Source organism: Homo sapiens, chromosome 5, assembly GCF_000001405.40.
Source record: "Homo sapiens chromosome 5, GRCh38.p14 Primary Assembly".
In the NCBI taxonomy this organism is placed as follows: Eukaryota; Metazoa; Chordata; class Mammalia; order Primates; family Hominidae; genus Homo; species Homo sapiens.
The window spans coordinates 179,900,007-179,921,859 of record NC_000005.10 but is presented as its reverse complement, the minus strand read 5'-3'; the positions used below and the strand labels follow the sequence as shown (position 1 = coordinate 179,921,859).

Here is a 21,853-nt window from a genome sequence, read left to right as displayed (position 1 = left end):
TAGTAGAGACGGGGTTTCACTATGTTGGCCAAGCTGGTCTTGAATTCCTGATCTCGTGATCCACCCACCTCGCCTTCCCAAAGTGCTGGGATGACAGGCGTGTGGCGCGATCTTGGCTCACTGCAACCTCCACCTCCTGGGTTCAAGCGATTCTCCTGCCTCAGCCTCCCAAGTAGCTGGGACTACAAGCACATGCCACCATGCTCAGCTAATTTTTGTATCTTAGTAGAGACAAGGTTTCACTACGTAGTTGAAGCTGGTCTTGAACTCCTGATCTCAAATGATCCACCCGCCTTGGCCTCCCAAAGTGCTGGGATTACAGGCATGAGCCACCACACCCAGCCAGGACCATCTTAGAACAGCCTGGCAGTTTCTGAAAAAGTTCAGTTTTTGCAGTAATTTCAGTTCTGAGTATTTACAGGTCTAGGAGATGTGAAAGCATATGTTCACACAATTTATGTGCACAGATGTTCTAGCAACTTTATTTGTAAGAGCCAATATATACTATGCAATTCTACTTATATAAAATTCTAGAAAGATGCAAACTAATCTATGTTTCCCTGGCAATAGGAGTAGGGTAGAAAGAAGGGCAAGGGATTGAGAGGCACCAGGAAACTTTGGGGTAATGGATATGTTCGTTATCTTGATGGTGGTGTCGGTGTCACTGGCCTATACAGCTGTCAGAACTCACCAAATGATGTACTTTAAACATGTGCTTTTCATTGTATGTCAGTTATACCCCAGTAAAGCTTAAAAACAGTTTTATAGAAAAGGAAATGTAAGCACAGCTCAGCTTTGAGTAGCACAGATAGTCAAATAATGTAACTATGGAATTTTAAAATCAAAATATAATTATATTGGGGCAATGGAAAGTATGTGCAATTTGGGTGCGGGGGTTAGGAGAAAATCCTCATCTTCCACAGTGGGAATTCAGTAGATAAAGTCTAAGACTGAAAAAAATTCGGAAGGATCAACATAGGCATATTAGGTTGCAGTGAGCCAAGATCACACTACTGCACTCCAGTCTGGGCAACAAAAGCAAAACTCCATCTCAAAAAAAAAAATATATATATATATATAAATATATATGCCCAGATGAGAGGGCTGGGGGGCAGTCCTCCATAAGATCATGTGCCCAGGAAGAAGTCTTCACGTTTCTAAGTGGAACCCTTTTACGAGCACCAGGCAGCTTTTGCTTTGAGGAGCTCCAGTGGTTAGTCTCTTGGGGATCCGAAGATTGGAACTTAGATGCTTAAAGCCTGCGTGAATTGAAGGATGCCCGCACTTTTTGTATCTCTCTAATAAGAGCCCCTTATGAAGGATAGTTAAGAAAATGTCATGCTTCAAAGATAATCTGCATTGTTTCCTCCTAGCCATGTGAGAAACACAAGCCTGGTGACCTATTAAGTCTCTTTCTCTTCTTCCTTTTCCAGGTGGTCACTTCTTTCATCGAAACTCCTTGTCCCCTCGGAGTCTGGTGTATGAAAGTGAATTCTCCACCATCGAACCTTCTTTGGACATGTATGATGAGAACAAAACCTGAATTTTAAACATGGCCTGGCTGTTGGGGTCACTGCTTTTGTGATTTGATTTCTGATCACCTTTCTTATTTTGTATTCTCCTGTCAGCATCCGTTTTGGAAGAATGGCAGCACTTTCCAAGCACAGGTTGGGGTTCAGGGTTAATTTGCAAAGTTCCCCCAAGGTGAGGCTTTGAGGACAGTAGCATTGCCCAGGTGAGCCTTGTGGTATTGAAAACCCGCCCAAGCTGATCATTGAAGGTGGGCGCCCAGCAAGGCTGGCTGTTTCCAGAGAAGAGGCCGGGCCCAGGATTAATGTTGCATTGCAGACGCATCTCTGAACAATCACATGCTGTTCTGCACCAGGGAAGCTGGGGTTTTTAACATCCTTTTGTGGTCCCTGCTTACGATGCATACTGCCCTGTGGGAGAAGCTTCCTACCCGCGTGGAGTACAGGTGCTGCTCCCTGACCTGGCTCTGGATGTTCCCCTCTCGCTTATTCTACTTCCTGCTGAAGGGCCCCTTCTAAAGGGGGTTGAGAGAAGGCCTTGCCTTTGTATCTCCTCTGAGACTCTGACCACCCACTTCCTGCCAGGGCAGGGCCGTGGGAGACCCAGGCCGTGGGGCCGGGTCTGTGTGCGGGGCCAGGCAGCCGTCTGCGTCGCTGTTTTCCAGCCTCCGTGTTGAGCATGACGTAAAGTGACAAGTGTTTAAGTCAGCACGAAAACACTGAAGGCCCCTCCGTCCCTGCAGCCTGTGAACACGTCTACTCGGCCACCCGTCAGTATAGGGAGTGTGTGTATAGGGAGGTGGCACCTGGGAGCCCAGCCCAGCAGTGTCTCTGGGCACAGTGATTTCAGGGGGATGGCCAGCAGTTGTGAAAGACAGAATGATCTGGAATGTCTCATTGGGAAGACCAAACCCCCTTCTCGCTGCAGATACCAGATAAGCACCCATCTTCACTGTCCACTGTGCAGCCCAGTCCCCTCCAGCAGCCCCAGCACAGCATGAAGAAGGCACATGAGCACCGGCCGACAGGCTTACAGGACAGGGTGCAGTGGCCAGCATCCCAGGCATCAGGGACATGTGGGATCTTCCCACACACCTGGGATGACATCGAATTAACATGATGAGAAAATTGCATCTTACTGCTAATCCCAGTACAGAACCACTATGGGCAAATTTATAAAACTAATCTGCACACCCTCTTTGCAAAAGGACACACCTGAGTTGAGTCTGCCTCTCATTGGCATGAGCTTTGTGGGGGCGTGAGGCGCACAGACCCTTGCTGTGAGAACAGGAACCCCAGTCTCCACATGCCCAGGGTCAGATCCGACAGCAAACGAAGCAGATGCGTGAATCCCCTGCCCTGTTCTCACTGACTGTGGAATATACGTTTGAAGTGAACACTTGCCATTTTTCCACGTGCAGCTTCTCCTAAAGTGTCTTTTCTCCTAACGCGTCAATAACGCCTCAGACACAGGTGTGCCTGAAGGAAACCTGCAGAGCCCCGGATGGGGACAGGCTTCAGGAGCATTGTCAGAGAGCGGGCAGCGGCATTTCGTTTTCGCTCATTTGAGGCTAGAATGGTGCAGATTTTAAAGGTCTTAGCAGCTTTTGTGTTTTACCTTTTACCAAGGGCTTTGGGGGTTTTTTTGTTTTGTTTTTCTTTATGATAGTCTTCGTACTATAAAAATATTTTCAATGAGCAGCTTCAATATAGCATCGTTCAGAAAAGCAGGTTTCCCCATTGGGCTCTCAGAGAGAGGGTGAGTCTGCAGGAAGCTGGAGCCCATTTGCTGGAGGTTCCAGACACGCGTCTGCATTTGTATGTGTTTGACCCACCTGAAAGGTAGGAGAGCTCAGTTCGGATCATTGCCGTGTTGTCTATACCACCTCCTTGTTTTCCCAAACCAAAACGCAGATCCTGATGTAGCATTTTCTCCTGATTTGAGGTCTTACCAATGTGTATACGTTAAATTCCACTCAAGACAGTTTCTTTACTGAAAAGGTATGAAATTACGTGAGAAGAAGTACAAATTTCAGGCCCCTAGAATCTGTCTATTAATATAACATTTGAATTTCTGGGAAATCTGGGGCACACATTCACGGTAGAATAACAAGGAGGCATTGCTTGCAGGGGAGCGTACTCAGAACAGTGCTGTGGATCCTGGCTTGACACCCTTTTCTGGAAAATTGGGGTCACTCTCTGGCTCAGCTACAGAATGGCCTGTCTTTGTCAGGAGGGACACTAACTTCTCATTAAGGCCATGCTCTTCAGGAACAGAGAGGATGATTTGGTTTTTGGTTTCAGGTTTTTATTTTTATTTTTGTTTTGAGACAGTCTCACTCTGTCACCCAGGCTGAAGGGCAGTGGCGCAACCTTGGCTCACTGCAGCCTCCACCTCCTGGGCTCAAGTGATCCTCCCACCTCAGCCCACCGAGTAGCTGGCACCACAGGCACGTGCCACCACACCCAGCTAATTTTTGGATTTTCTGTAGAGATATGGGACTTTGCCATGTTGCCCAGGCTGGTCTTGAATTCCTGGGCTCAAGCAATCCACCCCCACCTCGGCCTCCCAAAGTTCCGGGATTCCAGTTGTGAGCCACCATGCCCAGCCAAGAATGGCATTTTTTTTTTAATCCCAAATAACAGCCTCTTTACTAGCTGCTATGCTGGGGGAAATCCCTGCTAAGTCGGGACCCTGGCAGGAAGTGGCCGGGGCTGCTTGTCCGGTGAGCATTGTGAAGACACACGTCGCCACATGGGCAGCGCTTCCCTGAGGCGCTTGGGGAGCAGTGTTCCGCCTGCTGCAGGTGTGATGGGGTGCAGAGAGTGAGTGCCTCCGTGGTTGCAAGTCTTGCCACCAGCAGCGGTTATTAGGAAATGTATGATAACCTCAGTCATTGTTGAGGGGGGAACTGTTTGAAGTAAGGAAGAGGCTGAGGAGTCAGCTATTTACACCACACATCCACCCCCCTGCCTCCAGTGGACTGCTGTGAGCTGGGCCTGTGCCCGGGTGAGGAGACCATGGGCCTGTGTGGCAGGATCAGCAAGTCTAGGGCCAGGGCAGCCATCAGCATCCTCTGGGAGTTGGTTGTGACTATTGAAATGCAAATGCTTCCGCTTTGGTGATTTTTTTTTTTTTTGAGACGGAGTCTTGCTCTGTCACCCAGGCTGGAGTGCAGTGGCGCGATCTTGGCTCACTGCAACTTCCGCCTCCCGGGTTCACACCATCCTCCTGCCTCAGCCTCCCGAGCAGCTGGGACTACAGGCACCTGCCACGACGCCCAGCTAATTTTTTGTATTTTTAGTAGAGATGGGGTTTTACTGTGTTAGCCAGGCTGGTCTCGATCTCCTGACCTCGTGATCCGCCTGCCTTGGCCTCCCAAAGTGCTGGGATTACAGGCATGAGCCACCACGCCTGGCCAAGCTTTGGTGACTTTTAACATCCTAAGGGAGGAGTAACCCCTCTTTCCTGTTAATCCAGAGGGAGGGGAGGGAAGGCCAGATAGCCAGGGCTTCCAGCGCAGGAGGCAGAGCTTGGCAGCCACTGATGGTGGTAAGCATGTCTGCCCAGGGCTGCCTGCCTCTGCCCTCCTCTTGGGAAGACAAGCTCTGCCCCCAGCTAAAAACTCCTCACAACCCTGATGAGCCTTGCTTTTGCAGAGAGGCCCCAGCTCCCCTGGTGGTCCTCAGGCCTGGCTGCGAGGCACATTCACGAGGCACTGCCTTGAGCACTGAGGTCTGGCACCTGCCGGCTTCCCTGATGCGGCAACAGCCCCAGCTGCCAGTGAGTCTGATGATATTTGGAAAAGTATTTTTAAAAACGAGATTACTGAATTTTACAAGCTTGACATTTTCTATTGGCTTTATAAGCTCTTCTCATGTTTTTATTACCCTCACATCCAATCCGTTCGAGCTACACGCTAAATCAAATTGGTATTTTATATTTTTATTTTTTTAGAGGCAGGATCTCGCTCTGTCACCCAGGCAGGAGTGCAGTGGCACAGTCATGGCTCGCTGCAGCCTTGACCTCGCCTCAGCCTCCCCAGTAGCTGGGACCACAGGCTCATGCCACGCACGCCCGGCTGAAGCTAGTTTTAACTGAAGAAAACTCAAAGTGTTCTCTCGCCGTTAACCTTTATTATTGAGGCATTGGCTCTGCTATAGGAAAACGAGGTGACGTTAATGTCGGTGGTTGACATTAACCACTGGCAAGTGACAGTGTGGCTCCTTGACAAGTGGTTGCTGCTCATAAATGTCATGAAACAAAAACACTGATTTTAGAGAAGTGGGATTCTACAGTTAATATCGCCAGCAAACTTTTATTAAGCTCTCACTCTGTGCCAAACACATGCTTGAAGTTGGGGTGAATCTGTGACCATTAAGATGTTGGCTGTTCATGGGCACGTTATCAAGCAACTGGGGTGTGAGAGCGAATGATAAGAGGGTGAATCTGGATGAGGAGGGACTTCCAGGGCACAGGTGGAGGAGAGGCATTGCAGCCATAGAGAGGCCCAAGGGAACAGTCAAGACAAGGCGGGGACAGTGGCCAGGAGGCGAGGGCAGCACTTCCTGGGCAGGGAAGGCTTGCCAGGGAGACCAGACTCCTGTCTCTGTTTGGAAAGAAAAGGAACCGCACTGGGGGTCAGGGAGGCTAGGCACGGCACCAGCCTGGGATGCCAGTCCCGCCTGAGGGGCCAAGGCAAAGGGGAAGCATTCACAGACCCCACACCAGGCTCTGACGCCAAGTGGAAGAAGAGGGAGATAGAAGCAGAAGCCTGGGCTTCCAGGCCTGGTTCCTGGGCGGGTGTTGATGGGACCCAGGGAGAGTCCTGTGGGGATACTTTGGGTCTGGGCTGGCAGGGGCTCTGGAAGGAGAGGCATGGAGGTGCGAACCTGGTGCCCAGGTGGAGGTGCAGTGGGGGTAAGGTGGCCAGGCTGCAGACCCCTGCATCAGAATGCCTGCGAAGCTGTGGGTTTTTTGTTTGTTTGTTTGTTTTATTTCGAGACAGGGTGTCACTCTGTCGCCCAGACTGGAGTGCAGTAGCGCCGTCTCGGCTCACTGCAAGCTCCGCCTCCCAGGATCAAGTGATTCTCCTGCCTCAGCCTCCCGAGTAGCTGGATTTACAGATGCATGCCACCACGCCCAGCTAATTTTTTGTATTTTTAGTAGAAACGAGGTTTCACCACGTTGGCCAGGCTGGTCTCAAACTCCTGACCTCAAATGATCCACCTGCCTCGTCCTCCCAAGTGCTGGAATTACAGGTGTGAGCCGCACCAGCCTGTTTTTTAATTTTATTTAGAGACAGGGTCTCACTCTGTTGCCCAGACTGGAGTGCAGTGGTGTAATCTTGGCTCACTGCAGCCTCAACTTCCAGCGCTAAAGCAATCCTCCCACCTCTGCCTCCCGAGTAACTGGGACTACACACGCATGCCACTACACCCAGGTAATTTTTAAAAATTTTTTTTAGAGACAGAGCTTCTCCATGTTGCCCAGGCTAGCCTCAAACTCCTGGGCTCCAGTGACCCTCCCGCCTTAGTGTCTCAAAGTGCTGGGATTACAGGTATGAGCCACCACGCCCGGTCAGAAGCTGTGTTTTTAAGTGGACATACCATCTTGTCCTGCTGAAGTATCTCCATGTAATCACAATATCTATGTCACCCAAATCTCCTCCTTCCTCCTCCCTCCCCCAAAACACCCCCACAGGCATGCATACCCTCCCATGCGCTGGAGGCAGAATCTCCCAAGGGGAGCTGGCCAGGAGAGGTGTCCCTGAGTTCAGATGGAGGTGGAAGCCAGAGTGGGGCTGGGACCACCCAGTGACATGAGGATGGGGCTTGGGATAAAGCCCTGGGGACACTGACATTTAAAGTGTGGACAGAAGGAGCTACTGAAGGCAATGGATTTAGAAAAGCAATTGAGTATGATTTCCTTCTTCAAGAAAGGCTGTCCAACTAGCTCTCACTTCCTCTCGTGTGTTCAGTGTCACCCGGAAGCAGAGTTTAATGTGACTAAAGTCAACATTGGCTCACACTGTCAGGGAGTGTGGGAAGATGAGTAAGGACTCATCGCAGGGCGATACCCACAGCTTAAAATAGGCACCTTCCCCTCCCAGGTCTGGTTAGGGCAGTTGTTACATATGAGGGGCGTGGAGTTTTGTCTTGTATTTTGGCCTTGTTGGTAAAGCATTCCAAAGCTTCGACACACCCTCCTTTCAGCCCATTAGGAAAGGCTGTTGATTGTAATATTCACACAGCTCCCTGGGCTATGGTTAAGAGCCTTGCAGAAGGACTGGGAGAAGCCCTGTGTGTTTGAAGTATTGTAGCATCAGAAAAAAACACCGGAAGAAGGCAGGTGGGGACAAGGTGCCTATGTCTGCTCCTTGGAATTCCTTTCCTTACTGTCCGAGGCAACTACAGGGAAAGCAAAGCGTGAGCCCCCAAATCCACACCTGGGAGGAACGTTCCCCTTTGCAAGGCATGGGACTGGCTGGCCCTGTGTCTCACGGGGGCTCTGAGTTTTGAGGTCACACTAGCCTCCTGAGGCCTGGCTGAGAGGGCTGGGTTGGGGGTCAGGAGGCCCCCTGTAGCCACGAAGCTCCTCTGGGGCATTGTTAAAGGTTCACCCTCTTTTTTGTGGGTATCCTGGAAGATCTCAAGAAACTGAGCTTGGAAGAAGAGAGGCTGAGAGGGTCTCCCGCCGCCTGCGTTCTCTGCAGCTATGGCCCCACAGCCTCCAGTGACCATGGAGGGGAAGGTGCCACCCGCCTTGGCTGCTGAAAGGGTGATGCTCTTATGCCTGAGTCTTGGCTCCTGTGGTCCTGCAGAGACCCTGTGGGGGCCGCCCGGTCGTCACCTGCACTCATCTTGGGTTTTCCTTCCTTTTCCACCCTAAGCTGAAGGTATTTTTTTCCTGTTTTCTTCACTCTAACTTGGGGAAGAAGGAAGATCCTTTATGGAAAAGAAAAAAAAAAAAGCACCTTTGAACGTCCTGCAACTTGAGTTTCAAGCTTTCAGAAGGATTCGGTGCTGCTGGCCTGCTCAGACCTCCGCCTGGGCTGTGGAGTTCCTCCTGTTGGCCCCTCCTCTCTGTACCACAAAAGCTCTAGGCGGCCCAGCCACCCCTGTGAAAGCGGCGCCCGTAGCCAGACGCCAAGGCTGCCGTCCCGAGCCGAGGGTGGCACCTTGCCCAGCGCACGTGCATTCTCCTGTGGGAACTCGGAGGGCATGTGGTGAGCAGTCTCCTGTCAGTTGAGGTGGAGGCTCCCGGCCCATCTTTGCTCTCCTCAGGCTGCCCAGCTCCTGGCGGCACATGGTGGCCTGGCAAAGCTGACTTGGCCTCCTCAGTTCCCCACCCATCCGCGGATCATCGCCTTCCCTAGCCACCTCTCTCTATAGCCACCGACATCTGCGGAGCGTCACAGACTGGTTCTGAGCTGTGGTTTACAAATTCAACCCAACACAGAGTGAATTCAAATTTGCTTTTGGAACAGCCTTTATCTCCAATTAAGTGCAAGTATATTTACACTATGTGATATTAAAGGACTTCTCCAATGACTGGGAGGTACTGAACCAAGATGTTTGTAAAGAAACGGTGGGGTGAGGTGGTTAGGTAGAATATACCGTCCTGGCCATTTCTCTTCCTTCAGGCGAGTAAGCGCTCCTTCAGCAGAAAGGCTGCGGATTGCTGGCTGTGCTCTGTGGACTGGGCCAGTAGGTGTGGCCCAGGTCCAGGTCCTGGCACCTCTGCTGAGTGCCCAGCCTGAGATGACACATGCCATCCTGGAGAGAAGCAGAGAGGGTGCTGTCTCCAGGCGTTCTCCAGACAGCCTGGGCCTGGCTTGCTGAGCCAGCTGCAGGAGGGGATCTCCTGACTGGGGCTTGGGACCAGATCTGCTGCAGAGAGGCAATAACTCTGTCTAAAAAGAAAACTTGTCCCGTGTGATTACAAAAACAGGAAAAGGCTCCAAGCTAGGAAATGAGATTTGAGGTATGGAGAACATTCTCACCTGATGGAAGCATCCTGTTCCTGTACAGGAGGAGGAGCTGGTGCAAGCCCTAGGCCACATATGTCACAGTTGTTTTGGACCCTCCGTAGCTTTTATACTCATAAAATATTAAAGTTGCCCCTTTCATATTTGGGTCATTGAAAGAGCCCACCGTACTCTAGGTTCCTGCTCACTATGCACAACATCTCAGAAGATGGCGTACAAAACTATTTTTCTAACTATAGCACAGGTAATGTGGGGGTGGGGAGGCTTGGGATATACCTAAATGTGGCAAATGATTTATCTTCCACCTTGAGGGATGAAAAGGAAACTATGCACTTGAATTTTAATTAAAATTTTAATTTAATTCATTGGATAGCTTGTGCCAGAAAGAACAGTCAATATTCAAGAAGCAAAACTGACGATTAGCTCAGTTTCGGGCCTCCCTGTCGGGGGAGTTTTCTTGTCTGGAACACAAACACCTACAAGTAGAGTGTGAGCTGGTTCTTGACAATCAGATCTCATCAACCCTTTGAAATGTTCTGGGCAGCACAGCTCCTTGGTCTGCATGGTTGGTGTAAGTATAATCAAGTAGTGAAATTGTATGGTATATACCTATATGCCAACAGTGTACACCCGTATGTGCAGAATTTGCTAATATAACCATTTCAATAAAAACCTATTGAAAAAGCTGATTTGACCACATGGAGTATTGTTGGTGGTGACGTGTATCACTGAGGACTCTCTTGGTTACAAATGACAGAAAACCCAGCCAAAACTGGCTAACACAAAAGGGGAATGTCATGGCTCCCAAAAGCCAAAATGCCCAGGGGTGCCTATGTCAGGCTTGGTGTGATTTCACCCTCAAATGCTGACACCAAGACACATGCCAACTTTGCTCCTCATTGGGAACCCCATCCCCAGGCTCAGGGTGGCAGTAGCTCCATCAACACAAGAGCCAGTCCCCAGGAGGTGGCCCAGGTCAGGACGGTATTTCCCTGGCCCAACTGACTTGGTTGGAGGCACATGGCCATCACCAGCCAGCCCCTGTGATCACAGATAGAATGCACCGATGGCCTCAGCTGGCATGGGCTCCACCTTCACAGCCCAGGAGTCCATGTGTCTTCACCTGACAGACAAGAGCTGAGCGTTCTAAGGCACGGTTCCCACTGCAGAAAAACAAACGACACTGCACAGACGGGAGAAGTGAATGCTGGGGGCAAAGGCAGCACGTGTCTGACACGTGTGGAAAAGCACTGGAGCCAGAGGCCGGGTGCAGTGGCTCACGCCTGTAATCCCAGCACTTTGGGAGGCCGAGGCGGGCAGATCACTTGAGGTCAGGATTTCGAGACCATCCTGGCTAACATGGTGAAACCTCCTCTCTACTAAAAATACTAAAATTAGCCAGGCATGGTGGCACGCACCTGTACTCCCAGCTACTTGGGAGGCTGAGGCAGGAGAATCGCTTGAACTTGGGAGGCAGAGGCTGCAGTGAGCCAGGATCATGCCACTGCACTCCAGCCTGGGCGACAGAGTGAGACTCCGTCTCAAAAATAAAAAAATAAAAAAATTTTTTAAATGGGCAAAGGACATTTCTCCAAATAGACATTTCTCCAGATAAAATATACAAATAACCCAAAAGCCCATCATCAGTCATCAGGGAAATGGAAATCCAAACCACAGCGAGATACCATTTCCCACCCTCTAGAAATGAGCATCAAAAAAAAAGAAAGACAATAACAAGTGTTGACAAGATATGGAAAAACTAGAACTCTTTTTTTTTTTTTTTTTTTTGAGACGGAGTCTCACTCTGCTGCCCAGGCTGAAGTTGCAGTGGCGTGATCTCGGCTCACTGCAACCTCCACCTCCCGGGTTCAAGCAATTCTCCTGCCTCAGCCTCCCGAGTAGCTGGGACAAGCATATGCCACCACGTCCGGCTAATTTTTGTATTTTTAGTAGAGACGGGGTTTCACCGTGTTAGCCAGGATGGTCTTGATCTCCTAACCTTGTGATCTGCCCACCTCGGCCTCCCAAAGTGCTGGGGTTACAGGCGTGAGCCGCCGCGCCCTGCCTAGAACTCTTACACCCAGCTGGTGGGCATGTGGAATGCTACAGCTGCTTTGGAGCGCAGTGTGGTCACTGCTTAAAAAGTTAAACATAGCTGTACCACATGACCCAACAATACCACTCCTCAATATATGCCCAAGAGAATTAAAAACACATATTCACACAAAGACTTGTACACATGTTCATGGCAGCATTATTTATAATAGACGAGGGGTAAACAATCCAAATGTCCATCCAAATGAATAAAATGCGGTGCATCCATACCGTGGGGTACTATTCAGCCATAAGGAGGAATGAAGCATCAATACGTGCTACAACGTGGGTGAACCTCGAACACATGATGGGAAGTGAAAGAAGACAGACACAAAAGACCACATATTGTAAGGTTCCATTTATATGAAGAAATGGCTAGAATGGGAAAAATGTATAGAGACAAAATAGATTGATGGTTGCCAGGGCAAAGCCGGGGGGAAGTGGGGAATGGCAGCTAATGGGTAAGGGGTTTCTTTTGACTTGATAAAAATGTTCTGGAATTAGTGATGATGGATGCCCAGCCTAGTGAATATACTAAAAACCACTACGTTTTGCACTTTAAAAGAGTGAACGTTACGGAATGTGACTTATATCTCAGAAAATCAAAAAGAAGTAAGCTTAGCACGCACATACTAAGTGATCGATAAATGTTTGTTCTTTTTCTTCTTATAAAAAACCATTCTCGAGGAGTGGTCTCCAGGTCAGCAGCATCAACATCACCTAGGAACGAGTTAGCAGTGCAAACACCCTGGGAGGGAGGGGGCAGCAACCTGTGTGGCTGTTTTTTGTTTTGTTTTGTTTTCAGATGGAGTCTTGCTATATTGCCCTGGCCGATTTTGAACTCCTGGCCTCAAGTGATCCTACCACCTCAGCCTCCCAAGTGGCTGGGACTACAGCAGCCTGTTTGAATCAGCCTTCCAGGTGATCCTAATGTATACCCAATTTGAGAACCACTGGGATTAAGGAACAAGACGACTCTTTACCTCCTCTCAGGGTGTTAAAAAGTGCAGTTCTTCCAAATTCTTTCCCTCTAGAGAGCACAATGACAATATTAGTTCAGACTTCCAAGGTGTTGAAGAAAGCCCGCCTCTGCATCTTGAAAGCTGATTCCTATATCCAGCAACATTGAAGAAGACTGCAGATCACTCTGGGTGTCAACTGCATGTACCTACATCCATCGCACCAAGATTCTTGAGTGCCAATCACAGAAACCCACCTGGAAGTCAGGTCCAGCTCCAAGGATGGTTTAACTGCCCCCTTCCCTTTGCCCTCTAGCCAGACCCTGGTGAGGGTTCCAGCCAGCAGGGTGACCCCACATCCCAGTCGACCCCGGACAGGCCCCAGGCCCGTTGTCCCAGGTGGAGTTGACAGCCCCCTCATGCAGAAGGCTGTGTGTGGACTGGCGCTGCCCCTGCAGGCCAACACTGGGAGACCAGGGACCCGCATTCGCCTGCAGCCAGCCTCACACTTGCGCAGAAGCCGCCACTGGGCCCAGGGCCAGTCCAGACCCCATCCCCAGGGCCGGCCAGCCTCTGTGACCCGTCTGTCAGGGGAGGGGCAGCACTGATTTCCAAGGATGCAGCCCGTATCAGGGCCTCCTGGCACCTGCCCTGCGCTGGAAGATTCTTCTAGTCTCCCGGCCCCAGTGTCAGAATTCTGAGAACTGGCCGGGCGCGATGGTTCACTCCTGTAATCCCAGGACTTGGGAGGCCAATGTAGGCGGATCACCCGAGGTCAGGAGTTCGAGACCAGCCTGGCCAACATGGTGAAACCCCGTCTCTACTAAAAATACAAAAAAATTAGCCGGGCGTGTTGGCGGGAGCCTGTAATCCCAGCTAAAGAGGCTGGGGCAGGAGAATCACTTGAACCCGGGAGGCAGAGGTTGCAGTGAGCTGAGATTGCGCCACTGCACTCCAGCCTGGGCGACACAGCAAGACTCTGTCGAAAAAAAAAAAAGAAAAGAAAGCTGAGAATTAGGAGGAACTGCAAACCCTTTCCAGGCGCCCTTTGCAGTGCTAACACGCCCCGGGTTGCACGCGCAACCAGCCAAAAGCCGCCAAACTCTGCTTCTTGACATCCTTCTCTCACACTGCACAGCTTTCAAAACGCCAGAAGCCCTGCTCTGCACAGCGGCTCCCCTGTCTGCGGACTGGGCCGTTCCGTTCTGGACCCAGGCCGGAGGCCGTGGGCTGCACCGCTCCAGGAGGCCAGGCTGGCGCGCGCCCGAGGCCGGGGCTGAGGGGGCGGCGCGGAACTCGGGCCGCGTGCGGGAGCGCCACACGCCCGCCAGGGGGCGCCGCCCGCCCGGCCCCGCCCCGCCCCGGCCCGCTCCGCACGCTCCGCTCCGCACGCTCCGCTCCGGGACGCCGACGGCGGCGGGCGCTTCCGTCTCGCGGGCCTCGGCCCGGTGCGAGCGGCTCCGCGATGTGGCTGAGCCCGGAGGAGGTGCTGGTGGCCAATGCGCTGTGGGTGACGGAGCGGGCCAACCCCTTCTTCGTGCTGCAGCGACGCCGGGGCCACGGCAGGGGCGGCGGCCTTACGGGTGAGAGGCGCGCGGGCGGCCGGGCCTGTGGGCGCCGCGGCTGGGCTGGCGGCGGGGCTGGCGGCGGGCGGCGGGCGGGTCCGGTTCCGGCCCGGCCTCGGCGCGTCGCGGCGGACACGCACGCCAGCGCGCGGCGGGGCGGGGGCGCGAGGCCAGGACCCGGGAGCCGGGCGCGGAGGGGCCGGGGCGGGGAGGCGAGGGGCTGGCGGGAGGCGAATGCGCCCTCGGCGGGCTCTCCTCAGGTCGGCTTGGGGCGGCCAAGTGGAGACCGGCGGCGGCTTCTGCCCGGATTCGGCGCCCGCGAGCCCCGGGGGCCGTGCAGCTTCCCGGGATCTCACCGCCGAAAGTTGGCGAGACCGCCCTGTCCTCATCCTCCACCTCAGTTTCCCCAGGTGCCTCTAAGGGGCCAGGTGACGCCAGCGCACGTTTTCTTTTGCCCTCTTCTTCGTGCCCATCTCACCAAAGTATCGCCCTTTTAGCAAGATCAGAGGTCCCTGGAGCTGGCCGCACCCCCATTCCCCCAGCTTCTCCTCCCCCACCTTTCCTGCTCCTGGCTGCTCTCAGAGCTGCGCACCCAAGGCTGTGGGTAGCGGCACAGGGTGTTCCTGCAAGCTCGCCAAGGTGGCCCTTTGTGGGCCCGGGTGCCACCATCACACAGGATGAAGCTGGACAGGCACCCTTGGAGTCGTGCGGCCTGTGGGATCCAGGGGAGGCCCACAGGCCACTCCCTCCGCAGGTGGTGTCCGGGGCCCCTCATGCTCCAGGGCCTGCGCCCAGCACTGCAGGAGCCCGGCTGGCTCGGGCTCAGTGCCTGTGCTCTTCGGGGCACCGACTGTTGCCCTACAGGATTGCGGTCCCAGTGTTGCCAGGTCGTCCAGTTTATCAAGAGCATTTTCTGTGAATCATCCTGATTTTCAGTGTGAGCAGCTAATAGCCAGATGCAGACGGAGGCTTCTCCTGGGCCACGTTTCTTCATGTGGAAGAGACTGTTCTGTTCCCAGAAACACTCAGTGTTCCCTTCAGCTTCGGGTTCCCTCCCAGTGGGCTTCAAGGATCTCGGGCTCCTGTTCTGGACCCGCCTCCTAGATCCAGCTGTTCAGTCGGCAGCCCCTGTGGCTAACCTCGAAGCTACTGCAAGCCCGATGAAGAAAGCGAGGGACCGGCACCTTTTCTTCCGCCAGCGCGCCAGGGTGTCATCAGCGCGCCAGTGTGTCATATTCGCTGGTGTACTTGAAACACTTGTGCTGTGCTCGGCAGGCTTATGTGGGTCGTCTCATTGAACGGGCGGGTGCAGGTGCAGCCCGGTCTCTGTACACCTCCTTCCTGCGGGCTCTTCTCCTTTCCACCTCACTCTCCGTGTCCCCTGGGACCGAGCTCCCAGGGTCCCCCCAAGGGAACCCTTCTTTGAACCCTCTCCCAATCTCTCCCCACTGCTAGGTTTGGTGTGTCCTGCTGTGCCCTCTGACAGGGCCTTCCCTGTGCCATCATGGGCATCGTGGCCTCCTGAGTACTGTCCTCCCTGAAGAGGAGCAGACAGGGATGTGGTTTTATCCAAGCCATCTATTAAAAACATGCCAACCTAGACTTTTCATTAAAGAATCTGAATAGCTAGCTTGGCCAACATGGCAAAACCCCGTCTCTACTAAAAATATAAAATTTATCCAGGCATGGTGGCACGCGCCTGTTATCCCAGCTACTCGGGAGGCTGAGGCACGAGAATCGCTTGAACCCAGGAGGTCAAGGTTGCAGTGAGCCGAGATGGCGCCATTGCACTCCACCTTGGGCGACAGAGCGAGACTATCTCAAAAAAGTATTAATGGACTATGAAACAAAAGTGTTAAAGTTGAATAACAGCAATAAAAATTGTTCTGACATCAACAGGAAAAATGGTAACAAAATATTTTCAGATCATGCCAAAAGCAGCACTTCGTTAAAAGGAAGAAAAAATTTCAAGTAAAAACAATAAACAGGTTTTTAGATTGCTCGATAATTCAATTAGTGAATCAAACAATGATAAAAGCTATATATTTCCTGCTGATTTGTCAGGAAATAGTGACACTGACAAAGATAGCATTACCTAAAATATAAAAGCAAAGATAGCGTTGCCACAGACTGCTTAATGTGTGTCATCTATCAAAGGGGTATATGTGATGAGAAGAAAAACTTGAAATGCCCTCAAATGTTTCAGTTCAGAAATGAAAAAACTTTATATTTTCCCAAATTTGACAATTCTAAAGATCGACTTCTTCAGTTATGATTTTTTGAGGCTAAAAGAAACTTCCTTAAACTGTCGGTAATAAAAAATCAGTGAGTCATGGCAAAGGGGAGACATTATCTTTCTGTTCTTGATATGGAAAATAATGTTGCAGAATCATTGTCCTGTGTGTGAAGAAGCGATGAGTACAGGACCAGAACTGTCCGGAAGACGTATTTCAGGAGACGCACATGGCAGTTAGGAAAACATTGTGTTGGTTTTCTGGATTTTGTGATATTTCTGATATTGTTCTTTTTTAACTTTAACGTGTAGCTCTGTACTTTCTCGGTCTAAAGCAATACTTGTTTTGTAGTCTAGTTTTGTATACGTAAAGAGGGCTTCCCAGAATTGTTTAAGCTCTGGCCCCATGAAACTTGTATCTGCCTCTGCCTGCAAGTGTTTCTGAGCCAGGAGAAGAAGCAGATGCTTCCAGGAAGAAGTAGAAGGGGATGTTTTTGATCGGGATCAGACACTGGCTGAAGGCCTTTGACCGCAGGGGTCATTCCGGACGTTTCCCTCGTTGGGCTGGACCCTTTGGGTAGCGTCACCATCCTGTCTGCCTCCGGCCAGACTCAGCCTTCAGGGGCCTCAGTCCGGCCCTCCCCTCACCCTCTATGTCTCTCTGCCCTGTTCCCAGGTCTTCTCGTGGGCACCCTGGACGTGGTGCTGGACTCCAGTGCCCGCGTGGCCCCTTACCGCATCCTGCACCAGACCCAGGACTCCCAGGTCTACTGGACAGTGGCGTGTGGTAGGTGCCCTGAGTGGTGAGGGGTGCTGGGCAGGGCCTGCCCTGGAAGGGCCGTTGCCGAGAGGAAGGGGTGTGTAGCCCACGTGTCTGGGTGGTATTCCCTGCTGACAGCATAGCCCAAGGCTGCAAGAGGGAAGTGGAGGAGCCTTCGCTTCCATCTTAGAAAGGCAGCTCCGTGGCCCGGTGCGGTGGCTCACGTCTGTAATCCCAGCACTTTGGGAGGCCGAGGCGGGCTGATCACGAGGTCAGGAGATCGAGACCATCCTGGCTAACACGGTGAAACCACGTCTCTACTAAAAAACACAAAAAATTAGCTGGGGGTGGTGGCGGAGGCCTGTAGTCCCAGCTACTCGGGAGGCTGAGGCAGGAGAATGGCGTGAACCCGGGAGGCGGAGCTTGCAGTGAGCCGAGATCGCGCCACTGCACTCCAGCCTGGGCGACACAGCGAGATTCCGTCTCAAAAAAAAAAAAAAAAAAAAAAGGCAGCTCCACTGGTCATGGGGACAGGGCAGGAGAGGACAGCCCCATGGATCCCCATGTACCTCTAGGGACGCAGGTGTGGGGCTAGCCAATGTCCACATTCTCATGCCACCTTTTCTCAAGGTAGACGTAGTCGGCCTCATTCAAAGATTCCATATTTGCAAATTGGCCTACTCAATAAAATGTATTTGCAATCCCCAAATCAATACTTCCAGCGATTTTGTGGTCATTTGGAGACACTCATGGACACATGCACGTTCAAAGCAGTGAAAAATTTGACTCGCCTGATGCCCATGTCCCCAGCTGAGGCAGAACAGGACGACGCTCTGCCTTCTTGATTCAGCTCTCATACTGCACTCACGTGTCCTGTTCACAGTCTCTGCAGTGCCATGTTTTTCCCATGTTTGTGCTCGTTGCTGATGACTTGGCTGTTTAAAATGGCTCCCAAGCATAGCGCTCTTGTTCCTAAGAGCAAGAAGGCTGAGTTGTGCCTTGTGAAGGAGATCTGTGCATGAGAGCAGCTTCATTCAGGCGTGAGTGATAGTGCTGCTGGCCGTGAGCTCAATGCCAATCGATCAGGAATACGTATTAAATAAGGCATCTTTAAACAGAAACACATGTAAAACAGTTATGTATCGGTCAGTCGACAGAAGTGTGATTAGAGGCTCCAGGAACCTAACCCTGTGTTCCCCCGGGGTACTGGTTCAGGATTCGCTAACTCAGTGTTCGCGGCCACCTTACAGAATCTGACCACCTGAATAACGAGAATCCGCTGTAGTTGTCCTCCTAGGTGGAAGCGCACTCACCCGTCCAAGAGTGCGGAGGGAAGTCCCCTTTCAGCGGGTACCTGCTGGGTTGAGTTTGCTCTGAGAAAATGACAGTCCTAGCTGACGCTCAGACAGTGCTTCCTGTGTGCCAGGCACTTGCCTGAACCACCCGGTACCTCCAGAAGGCATAAGTACTTTGGTCTTCTCTATGTTGAAGGTGAAGAAACTCTGGCCCAGAGGGGTTGAGTAACCTGCTCAGAGTCACACAGCTGCAGTTTGGACCCTCTCAGTACCTCTCTGAAGCAGAAGCCACAGTGCCCTTGTTCTCCAGGGTAGTGGTTTCCCTTGAAGGCCTGGGAGAAGATGATGAGACTCAAAAGTTTGTCAACCTCACGGCTGGAACCCAGCTTCAGGAGGGGAAGGGTCAAGGAAGTAAAAGCACAGGGCGGGCGGCACCCCGGGAATAGCCCCACTCCCAGGTGGGCGCTCTGCACGGGCATCCTGACCAGCAGTGCCCTTCTCCTTTGCAGGACTGAATAACTCAGTAAGAGTTAGGAAGGGGAGTTTGTCCAAGGCCAAGCAGGGAAGCCCAGTTAGACCCCCGATCTCTGGCTTCAGAGCCTGAGTGGACCCTGGGGGCAGCAAGAGTTTGCCAGAGGAGGGGCTTCCTGTGGGGAGGGGACCATTTCTGAGTGGGCCAGGAGGTTGGTGTGTGCTAATGAGGAGAGGAGCTGCTTTAACATGGGCCCTTGAGATTTCCATCTCTGGCAGCAAGAGCTGCCCGTCCCTGGGGAGAGAAAAGTACGAGGGGCAGAGTGGGAATCCCTTTAGTCACAGCAGGCCTGGTGCTGGGGAGGGGCCCAGCCACAGCCACGCAGCGGAGCCCATGTACGTAGCCCCGTGCCACACACTTGACCTCTCCCCTCCTGCCAGGCCCAAAGCCCTGCACTGGCCCTGGCTGTGCCTCCCTTTCCTGCCAGCCAGGCTAGGCCCCAGAAGCAACTCACCAAGACCAGACATGGCCCTGCCAGCACCTGCTTAGTGAGTCCTGACCCTTGAGCCTGGTGTTCGAGGACACCTGGGGGTCTGCCTGCCTCCATTTCTGGCCTTGTCTCCCCAGCTCACAGCCTGGCCTTCAGCCGGACCACACAGCTGCAGGGCCTGGAGGAGCCACACCCCTCCTGGCTGCTGTGCCTAGTGTCCGCCATGCCAGCTAACCTTCCCTCCCGCTCCTCTGAGAACTGCCCAGACTCCACAGACCCATCCTTCCTCCTTACTCCTCTGGACATGACGTGTCTGCACACGCTTTTACGTGGAAGCCCATGAGGCCGGGAGCTTCCGAGGGTGAGGGCAGGCTCTGCAGCCAGGCACCCAGGGTTAGGATTCTGATTTGATCACTTCCCAGCTGTGTGACCTTGGGTAACTTATTTCACCTCTCTGTGCCTCAGCTTCATCTGGTAAAATGAAAATAATGGTACCTGTCTCCACTGTGTTCTGAGAATGAAATAAGATAATCCATGGAAAACTCTGAAAACAGAAACAGCATTTAATACTCTAATTAGCTATTATATTATTTTTATTCCCAGCACCTAGCATAGAGATGGAATAGTTTCTTAGTATGAAATGAAGATTGAGTTACTTTTAACTAATATTTTTAATGCACATATGTAAAAAAAGAAATGTTTTTTTGAGGCGTTCTCTTTCTGTTGCCCAGGCTGGAGTGCCGTGGTGCAATCACAGCTCACTGCAGCTCTCTGGCTAAAGCGATCCTCCCACCTCAGCCTCCTGACTAGCTGGGACTGCAGGCCCACGCAACCATGCCTCATTTTTTCTATTTTTTGTAGAGACAGCCATGTTGCCCAGACTGATCTCAAACTCCTGGGCTCAAGCGATTCCCCTGCCTCAGCCTCCCAGAGTGCTGGGATTATAGGACTGAGCCACTGTGCCCGGCCTATAAATATTTTTAATTAAAGTGCTGACACATCCACACAGGCAGCGAGGAGGAGATTTCTTCTGTTTTAGTTTTCTAGGAATGTTATGTGTAACAGAAAATAATACAGTAGAGTTGCACCACATGTAAATTTGACTTCCAAATTCAACTGTGGGTTCCTGGCAAAGAAACCGAAAAAGAAATCTCTACCTACCAACTAGGCCTTGGCCTCTGTGCATCAGGGAAAGGAGGCTGTAATAGAAATGCAAAGAAAAATGAAAAAAAAAGTTTAAAGTGAATTATGGATGACTTAAGGGGCTTCCAGGAGTAATTCTGGGGGCCTTTTGTGACTCACTGCAAGCTGTGTGATTCTGGGTGGAATCGTTTTCCCGTGGGCATCCTCCCCCAGGCCAATCGGGAGGATCTATCCTGTGGCCTTGCTTCTTAGGTCAGGGTCTGCTTGAGGAGATTTGACAAAGCAAACAAATCAGTCCCAAGCAGAACAGCCGGGCTGTGACACAGCCTTGAGCGGGTGCCACGGGCTGGAGCAGGTGACAGGCCCAGCCTGGCCTGGAGGGAGGGTCAGAGCTGTCTCCAGCTGGCAGAAGAGCCTGGTCAGGGAGGGAAGGAAGGTGGTCGGGGCAGGCGTGCCAGCAGAGACGTCTGGTTCACAGTCACACTGGCCTCCCGAGCATAGTGCCGTAGTGCTCTTGTTCCTAAGAGCAAGAAGGCTGAGTTGTGCCTTGTGAAGGAGATCCGTGCATGCGAGCAGCTTCTTTCAGGCGTGAGTGATAGTGCTGCTGGCCGTGAGCTCAATGCCAATCGATCAGGGATACGTATTAAATAAGGCATCTTTAAACAGAAACATGTAAAACAGTTATGTATCGGTCAGTCGACAAGAGTGTGATTAGAGGCTCCAGGAACCTAACCCTGTGTTCCCCCAGGGTACTGGTTCAGGATTCGCTAACTCAGTGTTCGCGGCCACCTTACAGAATCTGACCACCTGAATAACGAGAATCTGCCATGTCTTGGCTGAGGCTGTCTTCATGCCTGGTGGGTGGGCCTCCTGTCCCACCCCCGGACAGCTGAGAATGATTCAGGGTGTCATTCACTCCTCATCCTTGTGTTCATTCAGTACAGGCAAAACCCCAGAAACAGGTGCTGGGGGTAGGGGAGCCAGGCCAGGCAGAGATCTCCCCTCATCCCTTTGCTCTTCCCCCGGGGCTTCTTCCCCGATTCCTTAATGGGAGCAAACAATTCTTCCAGCCTTTGAAAGTGGCATCGTGCTGCCTTCTCTACGTTTTTGTTTTGTGTGTTGTTTTGTTTTTTGAGACGAGGTCTCACTTTGTCACTCAGGCTGCACTGTAGCCTCCGCCTCCCAGGCTCAAGCAATCCTCCCACCTCAGCATCCTGAGTGGCTGGGACCACAGGTGCATGCCACCACGCCCAGCTAATTTTTTGTATTTTTGGTTTCGCCATGCTGCCCGGGCTGATCTCGAACTCCTGGGCTCAAATGAC

General features: G+C 52.1%; 2 protein-coding genes across 3 annotated transcripts in view, besides 8 other annotated features; both read left to right on the top strand.

Annotated features, from left to right (window-relative positions):
- RNF130 (ring finger protein 130) overlaps positions 1–10,209 on the top strand; it is a 160,109-nt gene extending 149,900 nt beyond the window's left edge. Inside the window, exon 8 of the mRNA NM_001410829.1 lies at positions 1,434–10,209. Within this exon, the coding sequence (NP_001397758.1) occupies positions 1,434–1,543 (110 nt within the window). The 3' untranslated portion in view covers positions 1,544–10,209. The remainder of the gene's footprint in view (positions 1–1,433) is intronic.
- Positions 3,868–4,785: an enhancer, noted in NCBI's record as "H3K4me1 hESC enhancer chr5:179344075-179344992 (GRCh37/hg19 assembly coordinates)". NCBI's record gives its function as "activates a minimal SCP1, AML or CMV promoter by ChIP-STARR-seq in primed H9 embryonic stem cells {active_cell/tissue: H9 hESC(primed)}" and the evidence as "EXISTENCE:reporter gene assay evidence [ECO:0000049][PMID:30033119]".
- Positions 13,812–13,971: a silencer, noted in NCBI's record as "silent region_16756". NCBI's record gives its function as "represses an Ori minimal core promoter by ATAC-STARR-seq in GM12878 lymphoblastoid cells {active_cell/tissue: GM12878}" and the evidence as "EXISTENCE:reporter gene assay evidence [ECO:0000049][PMID:35858748]".
- Positions 13,963–21,853, top strand: part of TBC1D9B (TBC1 domain family member 9B) — a 45,827-nt gene continuing 37,936 nt past the window's right edge. For both annotated transcript variants that reach the window (NM_015043.4, NM_198868.3), the window contains exons 1-2: positions 13,963–14,156; positions 17,048–17,158. In NM_015043.4, coding sequence (NP_055858.2) covers positions 14,039–14,156; positions 17,048–17,158 — 229 coding nt within the window. In that variant the 5' untranslated portion in view covers positions 13,963–14,038. The remainder of the gene's footprint in view (positions 14,157–17,047; positions 17,159–21,853) is intronic.
- Positions 14,042–14,101: a silencer, noted in NCBI's record as "silent region_16755". NCBI's record gives its function as "represses an Ori minimal core promoter by ATAC-STARR-seq in GM12878 lymphoblastoid cells {active_cell/tissue: GM12878}" and the evidence as "EXISTENCE:reporter gene assay evidence [ECO:0000049][PMID:35858748]".
- Positions 14,112–14,251: a silencer, noted in NCBI's record as "silent region_16754". NCBI's record gives its function as "represses an Ori minimal core promoter by ATAC-STARR-seq in GM12878 lymphoblastoid cells {active_cell/tissue: GM12878}" and the evidence as "EXISTENCE:reporter gene assay evidence [ECO:0000049][PMID:35858748]".
- Positions 14,112–15,009: a biological region, named in NCBI's record as "H3K27ac-H3K4me1 hESC enhancer GRCh37_chr5:179333851-179334628".
- Positions 14,232–15,009: an enhancer, noted in NCBI's record as "H3K27ac-H3K4me1 hESC enhancer chr5:179333851-179334628 (GRCh37/hg19 assembly coordinates)". NCBI's record gives its function as "activates a minimal SCP1, AML or CMV promoter by ChIP-STARR-seq in naive H9 embryonic stem cells {active_cell/tissue: H9 hESC(naive)}" and the evidence as "EXISTENCE:reporter gene assay evidence [ECO:0000049][PMID:30033119]".
- Positions 14,302–14,351: a silencer, noted in NCBI's record as "silent region_16753". NCBI's record gives its function as "represses an Ori minimal core promoter by ATAC-STARR-seq in GM12878 lymphoblastoid cells {active_cell/tissue: GM12878}" and the evidence as "EXISTENCE:reporter gene assay evidence [ECO:0000049][PMID:35858748]".
- Positions 18,790–19,289: an enhancer, noted in NCBI's record as "H3K4me1 hESC enhancer chr5:179329571-179330070 (GRCh37/hg19 assembly coordinates)". NCBI's record gives its function as "activates a minimal SCP1, AML or CMV promoter by ChIP-STARR-seq in naive H9 embryonic stem cells {active_cell/tissue: H9 hESC(naive)}" and the evidence as "EXISTENCE:reporter gene assay evidence [ECO:0000049][PMID:30033119]".